The sequence below is a fragment of the Homo sapiens genome, chromosome 7 (genome assembly GCF_000001405.40).
Source record: "Homo sapiens chromosome 7, GRCh38.p14 Primary Assembly".
NCBI lineage: Eukaryota > Metazoa > Chordata > Mammalia > Primates > Hominidae > Homo > Homo sapiens.
In genome coordinates, this window is record NC_000007.14 from 96,921,720 (window position 1) to 96,941,103 (window position 19,384).

A 19,384-nucleotide genomic window follows, 5' to 3' on the forward strand; every position below is an offset into this window, starting at 1 on the left:
TGCTGACTTCTGTTAATAAGAAAGAATGCTAGAACATTTGCTGCTAGCAAGGACAACTGCAGAAAATGCAGTTCAGACCGTCATAGGAGACTTGAAGATTGGCAGCTCCTCACCATGCTGTTCAGCATCAAAAGGCCACCCTCTACCTTTTTTTTTTTTTGACCAGATACACACAATTGAGCCCTTCTGAATCTGGCATCACAGACGTTGAGACATACTTTTGCAGAGCAGTTTATGATGACATTTATGAGCTATGCCTCACAGTCATCTCTCAAGGTGAGTGAAGGCAATCCAACATACGGGGAAACTGAAGTGTTGGGAGCCCCAGTGCAGGCCCTGGCAAGTTGAAGCCTCAAGAGATGGAGTGACAAACCAACAAACTGTTCAAACCAAGAAATTTAATTCTTGAATGGAGATTGTCTCTTTTTGAGTGGGAAAGGGAAAGTATAGTTAGGGAGACAAGTTGGATAAAGATAAGTTTCAGGGGAATAAATACAGGGGGCAAATCTAAATTAAACCTATCTTTGGTATGCGGCCAACTCAAAGCATGAATAAGGGGATCCTAGGAATATTACAAAAGAGCAATATCCTATTCCACTAAAAAGGAAGCTGTTTCTCCCAAAACTGAAAGGCAAAAGTAATTTCAAAGATACTAGACACATAGACTAAATTCAATGTCAGCCAAAGAAACAGCAGAAGTTCAAGGTTAAATCATACCATGAAACAGCCAAATGTGTACCTGGGGGCTACATGGATGAGCTATACATTGTCCCGGTAGGTTTAAATGGCGGAATCTTTGTCAATGGCCTGACATCATGGAGTCTTCTGCATAACCCTTTGGCTCAGAAAGCATAGATACAGAATTTACTCTCTTTAAAGTATCATATCTCATTACTACCATAGAAGATTCTAGGTAAAAATCTAGTTTTCCATGAAAAACTTTTAAATATTTATTAAACTCCCCCAGTGAGGTGATTGTTTTTAAACAAATTATTTTCAGAGGTGGAATAAGCAAACCTCTGAAGCAAAGGTTAAGAGGCTTCATTTTACCTTTTTTATAAGGACATTTTTAACAGCAACTTTTTTTGTTTTTAAAATCTTAGTTCAATCTTATTTGCCATCAGTGAGATATAAAAAGGTTGCACAGCATTGGGGAAAAAAAAATTGACTACCTTGTCAAAAAGGAGGTCATATCTCACCATGCTAACTGCAGTCAAGAACTCATTTCAAGTGCTGGGATTCTACTTTTCGGATCTTAGCTCATGTTGTTTCTATTGTGAATGTAGCCTACTCAAAGCCGTTTTCTTTCTGTTTAGCTTTATTAAGTTTTGCTTTTGTCCCGGGCTTTGGAGGCATGGTCTGAGAAGTCGGGCTGACCTGAATTTGGATCCCAGCTCCCAAGTTACAAGCTGGAGAGCTGGAACTTTCCTCCTTTTCTCTCTTTGATCTCTCAGAGCTTTCCTATCTTTATTAAAAATGGCATAAGTGGCCAGGCATGTTGGCTTATGCCTGTAATCCCAGTGCTTTGGGAGGCTGAGGTGAGAGAATCACTTGAGGCCAGTAGTTCAAGATTAGCCTGGGCAGCAAGGCAAGACCCTATCTCTACAAAAAATAAAAATTAAAAAATTACCTGGGCATGGTGGCATGCCTGTAGTCCCAGCTACTCAGGAGGGTGAGGCAGGAGGATTGCTTGAGCCCAGGAGTTTGAGGCTACAATGAGCTATGATCATGCCACTGCACTCCAGCTTGGTGACAGAGCAAGACCCTGCTCCTAAGTAGATAGATAGATAGATGGATAAATAGATAGATAGATGATAGATAGATAGATAGATAGATAGATAGATAGATAGATATGATAGATAAATAAATAAGGCATAAGGTTATTATAAAGGCAAAACAAAGAACTATCTTAAAGCAAATAATAAATGATGAATTGCACCATGATTCATCCAGCTGCCAAAAAAGAAACTTGGACACCATCCTTGACTTCTCCTCCTTTCTCCTATACACAAACAACTGGTCATCAAGTCTTATCAACCCCTTCCTCTCTATTCTCATTTCCACTGCTTCATCTCAGATTATCAGGCTCCCATGTCTAGCCTCACCCTGTCCTAATGTGTTCCCTTTGCTGCCACTATATTATGCTTCCTCAGCCAAAAATATGATGCTGTCATTGCCTGCTTTGACTCCAGTATCTCCTGCTGCATCTGGGGAAAAAGTCAAGGCAACTTATTACCTGGTTCCAGCACACCTGCCTCTCCAGTCTCATCTTTGGCTCCTCCCCCTATCCCGACCCCTTTCTATCCTTTCTCTAGCTCTCTCTGCCCAACCATACTACACTATTTTGCAGCAGTAAATACGAGAATCAGAATTATTTAAGATTTAGTTTAAGTGCCACCTCTTCTTGGAAATTTTTGTAAACTCACCCTCTCATCCCACCTAGTCTGAGTTGAGAGCTTCTTCCAAAGTCTCCCAAGCACCTTTCATCATAGCACATGTTTCTCTGGGTAGTAATTATCTGTGGGCTTCTTAAGGATAAGGACTGTCTTTTCAGTCTTTGTAACCTCAACAGCTAGCACAGTACTTTGCATGAAGGATGTGCTTCATGACTGAATGAAAAAATGAATGAACTCATACACCTAGAATAGTATTAGATGCATTGGAGGCATTCCATAAGAGCTAGTTGGGTTTCCTTTCCTTCTTTCTCAGATCAAGTCCAGAATCAAGAGATTTCTGAAATGGGGCTGGGCACGGTGGCTCACACCTGTAATCCCAGCACTTTGGGATGCTGATGCGGGTGGATCACTTGAGGCCTGGAGTTTGAGACCAGCCTAGCCAACATGGTGAAACCCCCATCTCTACTAAAAATACAAAAAGTAGTCAGGCATGGTGGCAGGCGCCTGTACTCCCAGCTACTCAGAAAGCTGAGGCAGGAGAATCACTTGAACCCAGGAGGCAGAGGCTGCAGTGAGCTTAGATCGCTCCATTGTACTCCAGCCTGGGCGACAGAGTGACACTCTCAAAAAAAAAAAAAAGAAAGAAAGAAAAAGAAAGAAGGAGAGAGAGAGAGAGAGATTTCTGAACTGGTAATTGTTTTGCAAGGACTTCTGTGAGGTGTGAGGTGAAGTTTTATCTTTCTTCTATACATCCCAGGACATAACTGACTACTTTCCATTCTTTTTTCTTCTCACCTCCCTACACACACACACACACACACACACACACACACACACACAACCCACATTCCCCCCTACATTCCACAGAAGTATCACTAGCATCTCGGAAGGGTCCCTTGAACTAATCTGCCCTTCCATGGCACCTCTAGACATTTGGACCCTTGGATTTATGTAGAGTCACTTGGGGAGCTTTTTAAGACACAGATGTCTGTGCCTCACCCCCATACCCTAGCAAGTGTAGGGTGGAACACAATGGTTATAGTTTTCAAAAGCAATCCCCAAAGTAATCCAGCAGATCTTCCAGGGTTGGGAACTACTGCTCACAGGTCAAACTTTTAGTTCCAAAGGACAAAAAGAAATACTATTCAATCTGTGACCCCTTCCCAAGAGCCAGCTCAACAGTAACCCAAGCATGCTGTTGTTGCCAGGGGGAGAAAAAAAAAAGAAAGTTTGTATTTTTATTTATATACTGATTTATACTTGTGTTGCTCCATAACTGTTTAGGGTGCCCTAGGGCAATAGTATTCTCTCTGTCAACAAATGGAAAACTATGAAACCTCACAAAATTTATATCCATCAGATAACAAGTCCTTCCTAATTTAAAGAATTTGTTTCCTGTGATTTTGAAGGGGGTTCTTCTGCAATATTGAGTCTCCCTTTCCTGACATTCCTCAGAAAGCTGCGCAACTTTGGGGCTCATGATCCTCCAAGGAAACTCGGGCATTTCTCTTGCTGTCAGTTTGCATTTCCAATGATGTCCCTTATACTGATACAATGCCATTCAGGCAAAAGTACTGTGGCAAGAAGAGGGAAAGGTACTAGAACTAATAGTTTTTTTGTTGGTTTTTGGCAGGTTTTTTGTTTTTGTTTTGTTTTGTTTTGTTTGGGTTTTTTTGTGTGTGGGTTTTTTTTTTAATGTCAGTTAGATTTGGCACCTACCTGTTCTTTTTAGCTTACAGCAGCTCAAAATAAATTAGTATTTATTTTTTAAAATAACTAAAACAGTTTGGGGTTTCTCCCACTTGCAGTCTGAAAATCATCTCTAATTTTCTGCCTGAACACTCAAGAAAGGGTTAAGTTTCTAGTATTTTTCATTTCTCCATTTATTTCACTTCCAGGGTCTTTCTTCAAGGGAGTAAAGGGAGAATGTAGTTTTACTTCAGTTGTATTACATTCAGAAATCCCAAACAATGTTGGCTCCTGCCTCATTATTTCTTTATTTTCTCTGGAGGGAACAATTTGGAAAAGGAAAAGATGAGAAATCTCCAAGAAATTAAGCTTCTTAGCTCTTTTTTCTTCCTTTTGATGCTACCAGCCTGAGTTTGCCACTGTGATTTTCACAGTTCAGTAGGAAGACCTCCACCTATACCATCCTACCCTTGACTCTTTCTTGGAATTCCCAAGTCCATGGGATTTTGGATTGTTCTTCTTGCAGAGTAACCAGGAATCCTAATCACACCACTCGGGAAAGGAGTTCATTTCCTCCATCGCTGCATATTAATAGAGAAGCAGGAGCTACATGATGTAGACCCTGGAAAGGCCTTCCTTGGCTTGGAAATCCTTTATTGTAAGTGGGTTCAGGACTCTTTTATTTTTTCCCCATTCTGACAGTGACCAACAGCAATATGCATGAGCCGATGGGACTTTTCTCAGAGCACACCATTCTTGGTATAACAAAGCCCTAACAAGAAAAATAATATACCAGTTCTTGAATCTTCCCCACACCAGTTACATAGCTGGTGGACTGTTCAGTCTAAATCCTTCCACTCCTAACAATAACACTGTAGCCCTAGGGGAGAATCCCTGTACAACTGCACAAATCAATCCCCTGCAGCCCTCCTTAAGACACGGCTACCAGAAGAAATTCTTGGAGCCACTACTCTGCTATTTTCCTACGAGGCCATTTTTCCTTGATATGCCAATAGTTCCCAAACTGACGTGAGTGTGTAGGGAAATATCCTCCCCTGACAGCATCACACCCTATTATTAGGCCACAAAACAGTGCTGCCTTGTAACTTGATTTTTTATTAGCCCTACTATTTTTCCAGCCCTATCTCCTAGGACACTTGCCTTGGTCCAAAGTGGGAGGGGTCAGAAGCAATAAGGGTGCCAGCTTCCTTTGCCGCACTTGTTTTAGACATTTCTCCCCAAGATGAGTTACTTTGTCATTTAGAACACCGTAGCGAGGCTTGAGGGTGACCCTTAGCCCCTAGCAATTTAAGACTGGGAGGCTGAGGATCAGCTAGGTAGCTCTACCCAGCCATTTCTCCTCCCCATGAAAGAGTTTTGGGTCTTAGGAAGACTACTCATGGGAATATATACAGTCACATGCCGCATAACAATGTTTTGGTCAACAACAGGCTGATATATGATGGTGGGCCCATAGGACTATAATAGAGCTGAAAAATTCTTGTCGCCTAGGGACGTGGTAGCTGTCGTAATGTCTCAGCGCAATGCATTACATGCATGTTTGTGGTGATGCTGGTGTAAATAAACCTACTGTGCTGCCAGTCATAGCACATGCAATTATGTACAGTACATAATACTTGATAATGATAATAAATGACTATGCTATTGGTTAATGTATTTACCACACTGCCCTTTTTATTGTTATTTTAGAGTGTACTTCCTCTACTTATTAAGAAAGAAATCAACAGTAAAATAGCCTCAGGCAGGCCCTTCAGGAGGTATTCCAGAAGAAGGCATAGTTGTCTTAGGCAGTAACAGCTACATGCATGTTATTGCCCCTGAATTCCTTCCAGTGGGACAAGATGTGGAGGTAGAAGACAGTGATATTTATAATCCTGACTCTATGCAGGCCTAGGCTAATGTGTGTGTATGTGTGTCTTCATTTTCAACAAAAAAGTTTGAAAAGTAAAAAAAAAAAAATTAAAAATTTTAAAAATAAAAAAGTTTATGGAATAAAGATACAAAAAAATTTTTTGCACAGTTGTACAGTGTGTGTTTTAATCTGTGTTATTATGAAAGAGTCATGCTTAAGAATTGTTAAAGTTTATAAAGTAAAAATGTTATAGTAAGCTAAGGTTAATTTATTATTGAAGAAAGAAAATTTTATAAATAAATTTAGTGTAGCTTAAGTGTACAGTATTTACAAAGTCTATAGTAATATATAATAATGTCCTAGGCCTTCACATTCACTCACCACTCATTCACCAACTCACCCAGAGCAACTTCAGGCCTGCAAGCTTCATTCATAGTAAGTACCCATATGGGTGTACCATTTTTTATCTTTTGTACCATATTTTTACTGTGCCTTTTCTATGTTTGGATACACAAATACTTACCATTGTGTTACAATAGCTTACAGTATTCAGTATAGTGGCATGCTATATAGGTTTCTAGCCTAGGAGCAATAGACTATATACCATCTAGCCTAGGTTTGTAGTTGGCTACCCCATCTATGTTCGTGTAAGTACAATCTATGATGTTTGCATAGCAGTGAACTCACCAGAGGATGCCTTTCTCAGAACGTATCCTGATCAATAAACAACATATGGCTGTATCTGAATTTGTGGTAGGCATACAGCTCAGGTCTTCATCCTGTGGTTTCCTTCATTCTACTCCCCACTTCACCATTTACAACAAAAATAATAACTTCATTCATTCATTCATTCATTCAACAAATATTTTGTGAGTCCTTAGTATATGTCAACCACTGTTCTAGGTGCTGGGGCTGTGTCAGAGAACCAAACATTAAAAATCTTTGCCCTCATAGAGCTTCATCCTAGTGAGATAAACAATAAAAAAAGTGCAAAAGTAAATGACATAGTAGTTTAGAATGCATAGACCTGTTTGAGGGGGAACAGGAGTGAGGGCTGATGTGGGGAGCTGGGTGCAATTTAAATAAAATGGTCAGAGTAGACTTACTAAGAAGGTGGCATTCCAGCAGCACTAGAATGAAGTGAGTGAGTTAGCCTATGGGAGAAGAGCAAAATACTTAAGCCAGTGAAAAATACTTAAGGAGGTATGTTCTATAAGTGGAAATGAGACCAATATGTATGGAGTAAGAGTGGGGAAGGCAAAGAGGGAACAGGAGCCAGATTAGATGGGGCATTCGACGCCATTACCAGGCCCAGGGCATTTGTTGTTTGCAAAATATATTCCCATCCTCTAATTGCCTCAACCTTGTAAAATGAATTCCATAGTAGAAATAATGGAATAATGGACTCATAGATGATCCAGAACTCTTTTTAGCCAATAGTGTCAATGAAAGCTATGTCCAAACAGTGGTGTATAAATAATGCTGATAAAGGTAATTTGACATTTATCTCTTTTTCCATTCTACCCCTCCTATCAGAACCCTAAATGGCCCACTGGCAGAATGTCCACCCCATAGAGCTAATGTTTCACTCTAGTTCTGGAGAATTGGCTGCAATTCTGAGGCCATGCTGAGATGAAATTTCATGGGACAATTTTGATCATTTAAAAAATAAAGTTTTACATATGTAGACTTTTAGTTTGCTATAGAAGAATAATGCCTCCAGAGAAACAAAAGGCCCTAGCTAGCAGTAGCTATTAACAGCACTTGACAACTTGGAGAAGCCGAAAAGATATGAAGCCAGAGCCTACAGCCAATCCTTCCTCAAGTCCTGTCAGCATTTCCCTCAAATATATCCCCAGTGTAACCACTTTGCCCCACCTCAACACTACTAATCAAGCCTTCAATTCTCACCTTGACTACTACCACAGCCTCTTCATGGGCATCTTTCCATGCTCCTCTCACTCCCTTCTACGGATGAGCTGAGCATGGCAGTAGAAAGATAGGCAGGGGCTAGATGATCTTAGGTATCCTTGAAAGCCACATGAGGAGTCTGGACTTTTTAAAAATGGGATGGGAAATGGCTGTAAAGCTGTGATCTGGGAAATAATGTGATCTAAGTTTTTTGAGTTTGTTTTTTTAAAGCCCTCTGGTTGCTGCTTGGGGAGTTGACCACAGTAAGGTGCAAAGCAAGGAGATCAGTTAGGAAGCTGCTATGGCAATAGAGGTGAACAAAAACCTTGAGAATCTCTTCCTTTTCCTCAAAAATTCAAAGGTCCTTTTCTACCTGAAGAACTTTGATGTTACTCTAGCCTTGGTCTTGAACACTGATTATCAAATGCCTGTCTCCCTCTATTTATTCTAGTCTTGATCTAAATACCACTTGCGTGGAGGCTTTCCCTAGCTACTCTAACAGAGTGAGACAAATCCCCATCTTTACCATCCTCTATCCTCACTTTTTCTCTGATCATTTATTATTTCCTTATATTATATATCTCTTTTTTGTTGTTTAGTCTGTCTCTTTCACAAGAGTTTACATTGTATGGGAGCAAAAACCTTTTCTGGTGTCTTTGTAGTTGTAGCTCTAGCACCAGGAACTATGCCTGACACAGAATAAACATAAGAGGGACTCAGTAAATATTTGTTGCATGGATGAATGTATTTATCTGCTCATAGCATGGTCTAAGACAATTTAAATGATACCAAGTTCAATTTCTTAGAAAACATTTATATTTCCAGAAAAAGGAGACAATGTATTAGAAGCACCAAATACATCTGACAAAGGTCTAATATCCAGAGTCCACAAGGAACACAAATAAATTTACAAGAAAAAAACAAACAACCCCATTAAAAAGTGAGAAAAGGACATAAGCAGACACTTCTTAAAATAAGACATTTATGCAGCCAACAAATGTATGAAAAAAAGCTCAACATCATTGATCATTAGAGAAATGCAAATCAAACCCACAATGAGATACCATCTCATGCCAGTCAGAATTGCAACTATTAAGTCTAGAAACAACAGATGCTGACAAGGTTGCGGAGAAAAAGGAATGCTTTTACACTGTTGGTGGAAGTGTAAATTAGTCCAACCATTGTGGAAGACAGTGTGGTGATTCCTCAAAGATCTAGAGGCAGAAATACCATTTGACTCGGCAATCCCATTACTGGGTATATACCCAAAGGAATATAAATCATTCTGTTATAAAGATACATGCACATGTGTGTTCATTGCAGCACTATTCACAATAGCAAAGACATGGAGTCAACCCAAATGCCCATCAATGATAGACTGAATAAAGAAAATGTGGTACATATACACCTTGGAATACTAGGCAGCCAAAAAGGGAATGAGATCGTGTCCTTTGCAGGGACATGGATGGAGCTGGAAGCCATTATCCTCAGCAAACTAACACAGGAACAGAAAACCAGACATTGCATGTTCTCTCTTCAACTGGGAGCTGAACAATGAGAACACATGGACACATGATGGGGAACAACACACACTGGGGTAGGGGGAGGGAAAGCCTCAGGAAGAATAGCTAATGGATGTTGGGCTTAATACCTAGGTGATGGGTTGATCTGCGCAGCAAACCAGCATGGCACACATTTACCTATGTAATAAACCTGCACATCCTGCACATGTACCCCAGAACTAAAAATAAAAGTTGAAGGAAAAATTTTTTTAAAAAGCACCAAATATTCCTGGTACCTAATAATCACTTATTTTTATTGAAGGTTCACTATATCCTAGACTGTATTATGAGTTTTTCTTATCTGAATCCATCAGCAACCCTAAGAAGTAGATATTACTATCCTGATTTTACAAGCAAGGAAACTGAAACTTGAATACATACCCACTGCGAACTCTTAGGAACACTTGAAAGTTCATTGCCTTCTAACGCTGAGATGCCTTCTAATGCTGAGAAGCCCTTGAAAAGGTGGTTTTAGCCTTGAGAAAAAAAAAGTTGCTGATAGGCTTGTTTAAAAGCCAAGAAGTTGTTATAGTTTTAAAGCCTAAATTGGGCCTGGTGTCAGCTGATCCAATGACCTTCCCTTTTTTATCCCTAGTAATCCGGTAATCTCCCATTGATGAGCAAAGCATGTGTACTCTATTAAATACTGGGTGCAGTTTAGGCAACGCTGCCTCCAGCCTCAGGTGCCCAGCAGGAAGTCATAATTGACAATACAGAGCTGAGTAGGGCAGCATGGTGGCAGCCCAGGTCACCTTCCCCATCCATCCCTCCTCATGGAGCTTGCTGCACTCATTTACTGCTCAGCTCCTCTTTGACCAATGGCTAAGGCCCTGGACTGGACATTGCCAAGTCCAATTCTGTTCCTAACACAGATGATTGCTGCAGTGAGTCATAAACACCTCACTGAATCTCACCTGAAAAGTTAAATGGAATGCCCTCTTCATTCTTGACTCCCAGGATGTGCTAATACCCCACAAATATGTGACGTTCCTCATAGGAAGGACATGTATATAATTCAAAGTGCTATTGTGAGTTCCAAACTCAAAATCTAAAAAGGCACTGAGAGAAGTAAATATTTGTAGAGAAGCTATATCCCTAACAATATAATCAAAATATAATAAACTTAATTTTCATCAAAACTATTTTTTGTTTCCAAGCATAGAGACAAGAAAGATGGGCCAGGCCTGGTGGCTCACGCCTGTAATCCCAGCACATTGGGATGCCGAGGTGGGTAGATCACAAGGTCAGGAGTTCAAGACCAGCCTAGCCAACATGGTGAAACCCCGTCTCTACTAAAAATACAAAAAAATTAGCTGGGCGTGGTGGCACGCACCTGTAATCCCAGCTACCCAGGAGGCTGAGGCAGAGAATTGCTTGAACCAGGAAGGCGGAGGTTGCAGTGAGCCGAGACGGCGCCACTGCACTCCAGACTGGGCAACAGAGCAAGACTGTCTCAAAAAAAAAAAAAAAAAAGAAAGAAAGAAAAAAAAAAAAAGAAAGATGGCCTTCCTGAAATATCGACTATACATGGCTATATTTTAGATTTTTCACAGTTGGAATTTGGTGTTCATGTTTATCCTTTTGAATATCAATGAGAAAGTTTATATTTGTGTCTACTGCCATGATAACATTAGCATGTCCCCTTTTTGTGAGTGAGAGAGATCAGATGATTTACCTCTTCTCATCTTTAGGGCTTATTTTCTAAATATTTTATCATGAAGGAGTTATTTTTTATAAAGATTTGACATGTCTTTTATTTTATTTTTGCTTTTCTTTATTTAGGAAAAAGCAAAACAACAATGTGTTCTTTTCTGAGATGCACATTGACTTGTAGGAAGGAAGTCTGAGAAGCAATTTGTCCACAAACAGAGATTATGGTCCGTGCAGAAAAATGTACCAAGATATCTTTCCAGGGTAAGCTGTGGAGGATATGTGGGCCTGATCCTGCACAGTCTAATGGGCACAAGGCTTTCTTTTACGTCAGAGCCTGAGGCTGTTTACAAATAAACACAGACCAACGTGACATTCTGCCCAAGATAGGCACCATGAGGGGAACTACGGAATCTTTCCATTAATGACCTATCTGAAATAATACACCACCCTTGATTCAGGGGCAGAAATTCCGCTGATGCAATGCCGAGTTGGGTGGGCCAGCACTGAGTGCTATGATGAAAGCCCTTCACAATGGTTTCCAAAGAATGGGAGCCAGAAACACTAAAACAAAGTCATACTTTCACAGAGCAGCAAGAGAAAGGACTTCCAGCGATGAGCCCCTATGGAAAAATCTGCCCTGGCTTCAAGGCCCCAAGCACAGCCCTGGGAACCATTAAAGAGAGGCTCTGGCAGATCTCAACTGACACATAGGCTAATGGCAGGAGGCAAGGGAAGGAAGCTGGGGCCCACCCCAAGTCAGACTTCAGAGATGCAAGATCATCACACACATACGTGCGCACACACAGATATTCACTGTCTTAGGAAGGCATATTTTACGTTTTAATGATAAGCAAACCTTGTAACAGTAAATTGTCTCCTCTTCTTCTAGAGATGGGAAAGATGAAAACTCTTTGGAAGGAACAAAGAAGAATAGAGACCTGGATTCCCAGGTCTGAAGGTGCTCTGTGAATGATCAGGTGATGGCCACGGCCAGCTTTCCCAGCTTTTGGTTTCACTATATTTGTTGTGCTTCAAGAAGCTCTGAGCATGTTACTTAGCCTGCCTCTACAGGAAAAGGTATATCAGTACCTTAAAAATCACCCCTTCTCTACCCTACTCCCATCCCCACACACCCCCACCATCCCCTCAGCATCAGTCATCCTGGGTGGTCTCCTGGAACTCTCTGTCTGCTCAGTCACCTGTGGCTTCATTACATTTGCCCTTCACATGGGTGGTTTTCTATGTAACAGTGCTCTTTCCCTGAATGCCTTTACGGCTGGATCTTTCCTGTCATCCAATAGGAGCTAAAATGTCACCTCCTAATAGAGACTCTTCCTGGCCACACTGTCTAAAGTATTGCTTGCCTCTCTTTTGTAGTCTGTACATTTTTTATTTCCCTCATTGCCCTTTTCCTAATCTGTAACTGTTTTTAATTGTTTAATGTCTCTCTCCCTCATGTGAACACAAGCTTTTTTAGATTAGAAACCATATCTTCTTTATTACTATACTCCATTCAGCTCAATGACCAGTATATAGAAGGTAGTTGATAAATATTTGTTGAATGAATGAAAAACTTAGCTGAAGTTCACCTTTTCCATTTCAGTCCACAGTGATCTTTGCCTTTCTGGCTTGATAAAGCACTTGAAGTAAGTTCTGCATTCACACGGCACAGCACTCTATTGTGTGGTCTTGATGCCTTCAGTCAGGTCGTGCCATCTTAATTCATTAATATGCTACTAAAATTAGGGGTCAGATTTTCTACTCATTGTTTTATCCAAACTCTCAGCATAGATCTGGATTCACTTGTCTTAAAGCCAGTGTAACAGAAATATTAGCTTTGGGGAGAAGAGTCATTTTCCCCAGAGTGGTCTTTTCCCCATAAGCCCTCTATAAAAATAGACCTACTGTCACGATTCTGTTCTTAGAACATGACATGAAATCCGGGGTCTTAGTTTCTGAGTGTTGGGAGCAAGCCATCACCTTCGGGAGAGCAGATTTGCTTGTAGAAGTCTTGAACTTCATATAAACATCGTTCATTTCAGGCATACTGTCAAAAATCTAAACAGTCCTAAATTAGGAGCTTATTATAAGTTATTACAGATTTCCTCCTGTTGCTTCCAGATTATTTGTTTAAAAGGATCTGGTAAATACCAGATCTTTAGTATGATGACTAATGTCCTGCCAAAATAAGGGGGGAAAAAACCCCTTTCAAAGTTATTCTGGAAACGCAGGTGGCTCTGTCCAGTAGTACAGATCTGCAGCCCCCCACCACCCCACCCCCGCCCTTACCCCTCTTAGACAGCTTGTTACTTCCAATCCTTGGAAAGAGCTCTTTTAAGATTGGGAGTTACTTTCACAATTGCTTAGACTAAGAAGACAAAGCCTGTTGTCTTGCTAACAATTGCTCTGTGTGGTCAATCTTTGGTGGTCAGCAAAATTATCCCCAAATGCCAGAATTCAAACGAGTAACTCAGGCATTGAACTTTAAAATAGATGTTTAATTCTTCAATAGGAACTCTTAACACCTGTCAGATGCTTGGAATGGGATGAGGCAGAAAGTAGACGGCAGTGTACAAAATGCAAAAAAAAAAAAAAAAAAATTGCATTTCGCTGAACATGGACTCCACATTTCCATTTCAGCCAAAGTGGACACTCACAGTCTTGACTCAATTTTAATTAGTGGAAAAATAGTGAAAGAAAACGAAAGAAGCATTAGTTTTTTTTTAAAGAGCCTTAATTATGCCAGATGTCTTAACGTTTTGATTCTAATGAGCATTTTCCAGACTTAAGCTACTTCTATTTGCAGTGTGCTCTCTGGATAACATTCCCTCTCTCCACATACACACCACTACCACATGTCTCTAGGAATTAAATTACTATCACCCTCCACGAGGAACTCCACTCAATACCTAAGCTACTTTTGCTCTGGAGATTCCCTCAAGGAATCTCAATTGAGCTTAACTTTGAAAACATTTACAAGGTCTTATACCCACATAAGATAAAGCAGTGTACTGAGTGGATATGCAATACAATGAAATAACTTTTAAATTTACTGTTTTTGAGCATCATTATCTTCTAAATTTTGTCCCCCTCCTCCCTCAAATTCATATGTTGAAGCCCTAAACCCAAATGTGACTGTATTTGGAGAGAGGGTCTGTAAGAAGGTAATAAAGGTTAAGAGAGGTCATAAGGGTAGAGCCTTTATCCAATGGGACTGGTGTCCTTATAAGAAGAAGAAGAGATACTGGAGAGCTCGCTCTCTCTCCAGGCACACAGAGAGGAAAGGCCATGTGAGAACACAACAAGAAGACAGCCATCTTCAAGCCAGGAGGAGAAGCCTTGCCAGAAACCCACCCCAACAGCACCTTGATCTTGGACTTCTAGTCTCCAGAATGGTGATAAAATTACATTCTGTTATTTAAGCCACCCAGTCTGTGATATTCTGTTATTATGATAGCCCAAGCAGACTGATAAGTGCTTACTATTGCTTGCTGATCCCCAAGTGCTTCGTTTACATTATCTCATTTAATCTTCACAACAACCCTATGAGGTAGACACTATTATTATTCGCATTTTAAATATGAGTAAACTGAGGCTTAGAAAGGATGACAACTTTCCGAGAGTCACACACAGTGTCAGAGCCCTCTGATTCCAGATGGATACTATATTATGTAAATTAAAATAAGTTAAAATATCTTTAAGGTATGTCAAGGCTTAAAATTGTGGCTGGTGTGTGTCATTTATTCTTCCCATTCATATTCCTGGATTTTTTTTGTCAGTGGTACCAAATTAAACCTAACTTGAGTTAATCCCAATCTAAGTTAACACACGTAATGAAACCATAATGCTCACATTTGATCAATATACACCAGGGAATGGTTACCTTATCATTTTTCTCATACTATTTGCCTTTAAAGGTTGGCATAATCTGTTCTTGAGTATAAAGTTGTAGGTGGATTTGAATCTTTTTATTAAGCAATGCTGTCAAGTACTGCAGTTGAAGCTGCAAATCGTGGTTCATCTGGTGAGAAACATACTCTGGATTCTAAGAAGCCTGCTCCTTCCCCAGTGCATATAATTTAATGGGAGGAACAAGACAATCAAGAAAAATGTCTTGAAATATCTATTTTTATTTAGTGCACCATTTATTTGCCCAGAGCACTAATGGGATATGTAGAAGGTATATATGGACAGCCTATGGAAAATAGAAACTTTGAGGATGTAAATCCATTGCCAGGACACTGAAATGATGGCAAATACACACCTGGAGTTAAACAAATACTGGTTTCATTCACAGCACTGCCACTTATTTCTGCTGCAGTCTAGACAAGTTACTCAACCCTGCTCTACCTCAGGTTCAATATGTATAAAATAGGAATAACATATCAACCTCCAAAGGTTATGGAAATTAAATGAAATTATGTCTATAGAAAGCTCAGCATCTTGTCTGGTGTATTAGTCATGGATCTTCAGAGAAACAGAACCAATAAGATGTATGTAAAGAGAGAGGGAGACAGAAATATTTATTATGCGGAATTGGCTCACATGACTATGGAGGCTAGGAAGTCCTATCTGCCGTCTGCAAGTTGGAGACCCAAGAAAGCAGGTGGTGGTGTTTGTGGTGTAATTCAGTCCGAATCTGAAGGCCTGGGAGCTGGGGGAGCCTGTGGTATAAGTCTCAGTTCAAGCGGAGGAGCAGCTCAAACAGTAAGGCAGGGTGGAAAGGAGCACATTCCTCTTTTTTCCATTTTTTGTTCTATTCCAATCCTCAGTCCATTGGATGATGTCCACCTACATGGGTGAGGGCAATCTACTATACTGAGTCCACTGATTCAAATACTAATCTTATCCAGGAACACCCTCATGGACATATTCAGAAATAATGTTTAATCTGGGCACTTTGTGTCCCATTCAAATTGACACACATTCAATTTATTAGCCATTGTTATTGACATCTTCCACAGCGGTGAGTTTTTCTTCCGTAACATATTTATCTAGCCACTCAACATCCTGGCAAAACTCCTTTTTGGCTCATTGGTATCATCAAAGCAGATGCTTTAGGCACATTCAAGGTAACTTCCAGCCCTCAGAAGATATAATATGAAAGAAGAAGAAACAGAGCTCAAAGTAGAAAAAAAATTATTTTTCAAAATGAAGAACTATTATTTTCCAGCTCCCAGGAGACTTTCCAACAATAAACAGCAAACAGTAGAAGATGATTATGCATTACAGAAGAGACAGCTATTTTATAAAAGATTTTAAACAATGTACAACAAACACCACTGGGCCCACCAGCACAACACAGACAGGGATACAAGCCAGTGTGGAGTTGGTGGCAATGCCCTAGGAATTCCGCAGAATCACTGGAGTGAGTTTGAATCCCAGTTACATAGACCTAGGCATTAAATTAGCATCAGCTAAAGGCCTAAGAAAAGTCAGACTTAAACAACAGAAATTGATCAAGGAGCAAACACATGCATACCGTGACACTCAGTGTGGCTACTGTTGTTCAACAGAGCCCAGGTTTCTCTGACATCAAATCATTGCCTTGATGACCTCAGTACGAGAGGACAGGACAAGTTAAAACCTCTAAAGGATAAGATCAGAGAAGCCTAACTACGACTTAGGCTATCAGGCAGTGACAGTTAACAGTTGCCAAAACTGTTTCCTGTTTATGGCACAAAGTTGGGTAAAGTAAGTTGTTCAGCCAGGACTGTAATTTTCTAAGCCCCCCTGCACCTTAGCAATGCTGTAAGCCTGAGTTCTAGCCAATGGGATAGGAGAAGTGATGGGTGCCACATCCAGACTCAGCTCATAGAGCTTCCCAAACTTTCTCCACTACTCTATCTTCCTCCAGCCACCAAACAGAGATAATCATAGTGACCTTGGAAGCTAAATGCTGAAGACTGCAGAGCCTCCACCAGCCTGCATCCCTGAATGACTGGTACATCCCCTCCTTCCCACGCCCCCTTAAATGACTCAAGACATTTTACAGGTAAGAAATAAACATGGGCCGGGCGTGGTGGCTCACGCCAGTAATCCTAACACTTTGGGAGGCCGAGGCAGGCGGATCACGAGGTCAGGAGATCAAGACCATCCCGGCTAACACGGTGAAACCCCGTCTCTACTAAAAATACAAAAAATTAGCTGGGTGTGGTGGCACGCACCTGTAGTCCCAGCTACTTGGGACGCTGAAGCAGGAGAATCGCTTGAAACCGGGAGGCAGACGTTGCAGTGAGCTGAGATCGCACCACTGCACTCCAGCCTGGTGACAGAGAGAGACTCCATCTCAAAAAAAAAAAAAAAGAAACTTATATTGTGTGTAAGGCCTTATGCATTTTAGTACCTACTTAGAACAGTTAGCATTGCCCTCACTAATACAACTAGCATTATCCTAACTAGTAAAGTTATAAATATTCATCACATGAATATTGCTAGAGAAAGAGGGCCCAGGAACTTGAAGCATGTTTTCTGTTCTGTTTTCTTTTTCTACTTTTTCCTACTCTGATGTGTACTGGGCATATATCAGAAATGGTTTTTGAGTGTTGAATGAATGAATACCTGACCTGACTGACCTATGACAAATAATCTAACTTCTTTTTGCCTTCAGTACCTAAAGCCATAATTAACATCGCAATGTTTGCCACTTTATTGAAATGTAATGAGGATTAATAAAATATCTGACATGCCATTCTGAGTTCCTTTGGGTAAGAAATACAATAAATTAAGTACAGAATAAGTACAATCAGTATAGGAAATTAAGTATAAATTAAGTACAGGATAAGTACAATGTGTACCCATTAAACACAAATCCAGTAGAAGTCAGGTTATATAAAATGTAAAGTTCTCTAGAATCCAATAATCTCAAATCACTACGATAATATAAACAAGTGAGAGTGAGTAGTATTATCTAGTATATTAATCAGGTAAAATAACTTCACTTCTCCTTAAAAGATGCCTTAATAACTAAGAAGAGTCATTAACTAATTACTCACAAATAATTTCTCTTATAGAAATGTGAACCTCTGGTTTTATTGTTAGCTGGACATACATAAATTGATGTGATCTTTCTGTTAAAGGTGGTGGCACCTAACAAGTACTGTTATGGGTGTTAGTCTGAGATGGACAGGAAATTCAGTCACCGATATATTTAAAAGACTCACCGAAAAGGAGGTACCACTGATAGGGTTTCCAGCTTTCAGTGCTGATTGTGAAAATGAGAAATATATTTCTGAACATACTTTTTTTCTTTACTTTTTATTTAAGATATGGGGTCTCACTATGTCACCCAGACTGAGTGCAGTGGCTATTCACAGGCATAATTCCACATTTGATTAGCATGGGAGTTTTGACCTGCTCTGTTTCCATCCTGGGCTGCTTCACCCCTCTTTAGGAAACTTATAGTCCTCTGTTCCAGGGAAGTCATCATACTGATGCCATACTTAGTGTGGATACCCTATTGGCATAGTGCAGTACAGCCCAGAATTCCTGGGCTCAAACAACACTCCCGCCTCAGCCTCCAGAGTGGCTGGGGCTGCAGGCATGTGCCACCACACCCAGATGAAAATAATTTTAACTAATTTGATTTTACATTAATATCTGTTAAGGGTGACCTTACATTATATATGATCCAGGTCCCTTAAAGGAAGACAAACACATGATGGCTGTCTGAAGGCTTAAGTTAGCCAGAATTGGTGGGTGAATTATTTTTCACCTGATGATCTGGACTGAAGGAAATGCCCACCACTGGAACTTTGGTTAAGTTTAACACCATGTTATTCAAGATGCATCCCTCCCATGTCTACAATCTCTTCACAATACTATGATTCATTCATTCATTCATTCACAAAATACCTACTGAGCACCTGGGCTAGAAGCTGGAGATTTGAAAATGCCCAAGATACAGTCCTTGTTTTCACACAGCCACAGCCTAATTTAAAAAAACACACAATATATACAATACAGCTGTATTAGATATCTAAATGCATTCCAAACTCCATCTTTGTGTCATAGACTGTTATGCAATAGGAACTAAAAAGAAATATTCCATGTTTCACCATCTATGCTGCAAATATAATCTAAGTTTCTAAGGTTTATGAGTTCACCTCAACTATTTATTGTTCTGTTTCAACCTAGCCAGCCAGCATAACACCACAGGCTTTTTTTGTGATGCAGAAATTTTAGATGCCCAAATTAAGAGGATTCCATCTTGAGTTGACCAAAATTCTTATCATTCTCATAAATGAAAAACCTTATTTACATGACTTTTAGCCTTTGATTTGCCCACTCTACTACAGTGT

General features: G+C 40.1%; 1 pseudogene, besides 1 other annotated feature; it reads right to left on the reverse strand.

Annotated features, from left to right (window-relative positions):
- Positions 12,935–19,018: an enhancer, noted in NCBI's record as "enhancer fragment used in the reporter construct, including a 5,115 bp sequence and conserved flanking regions". NCBI's record gives its function as "activates a minimal beta-globin promoter in the inner ear and developing bones of E12.5 transgenic mouse embryos {active_cell/tissue: bone(E12.5) | inner ear(E12.25)}" and the evidence as "EXISTENCE:transgenic organism evidence [ECO:0001131][PMID:19707792]".
- Positions 18,349–18,645, reverse strand: RN7SL252P (RNA, 7SL, cytoplasmic 252, pseudogene; annotated as a pseudogene).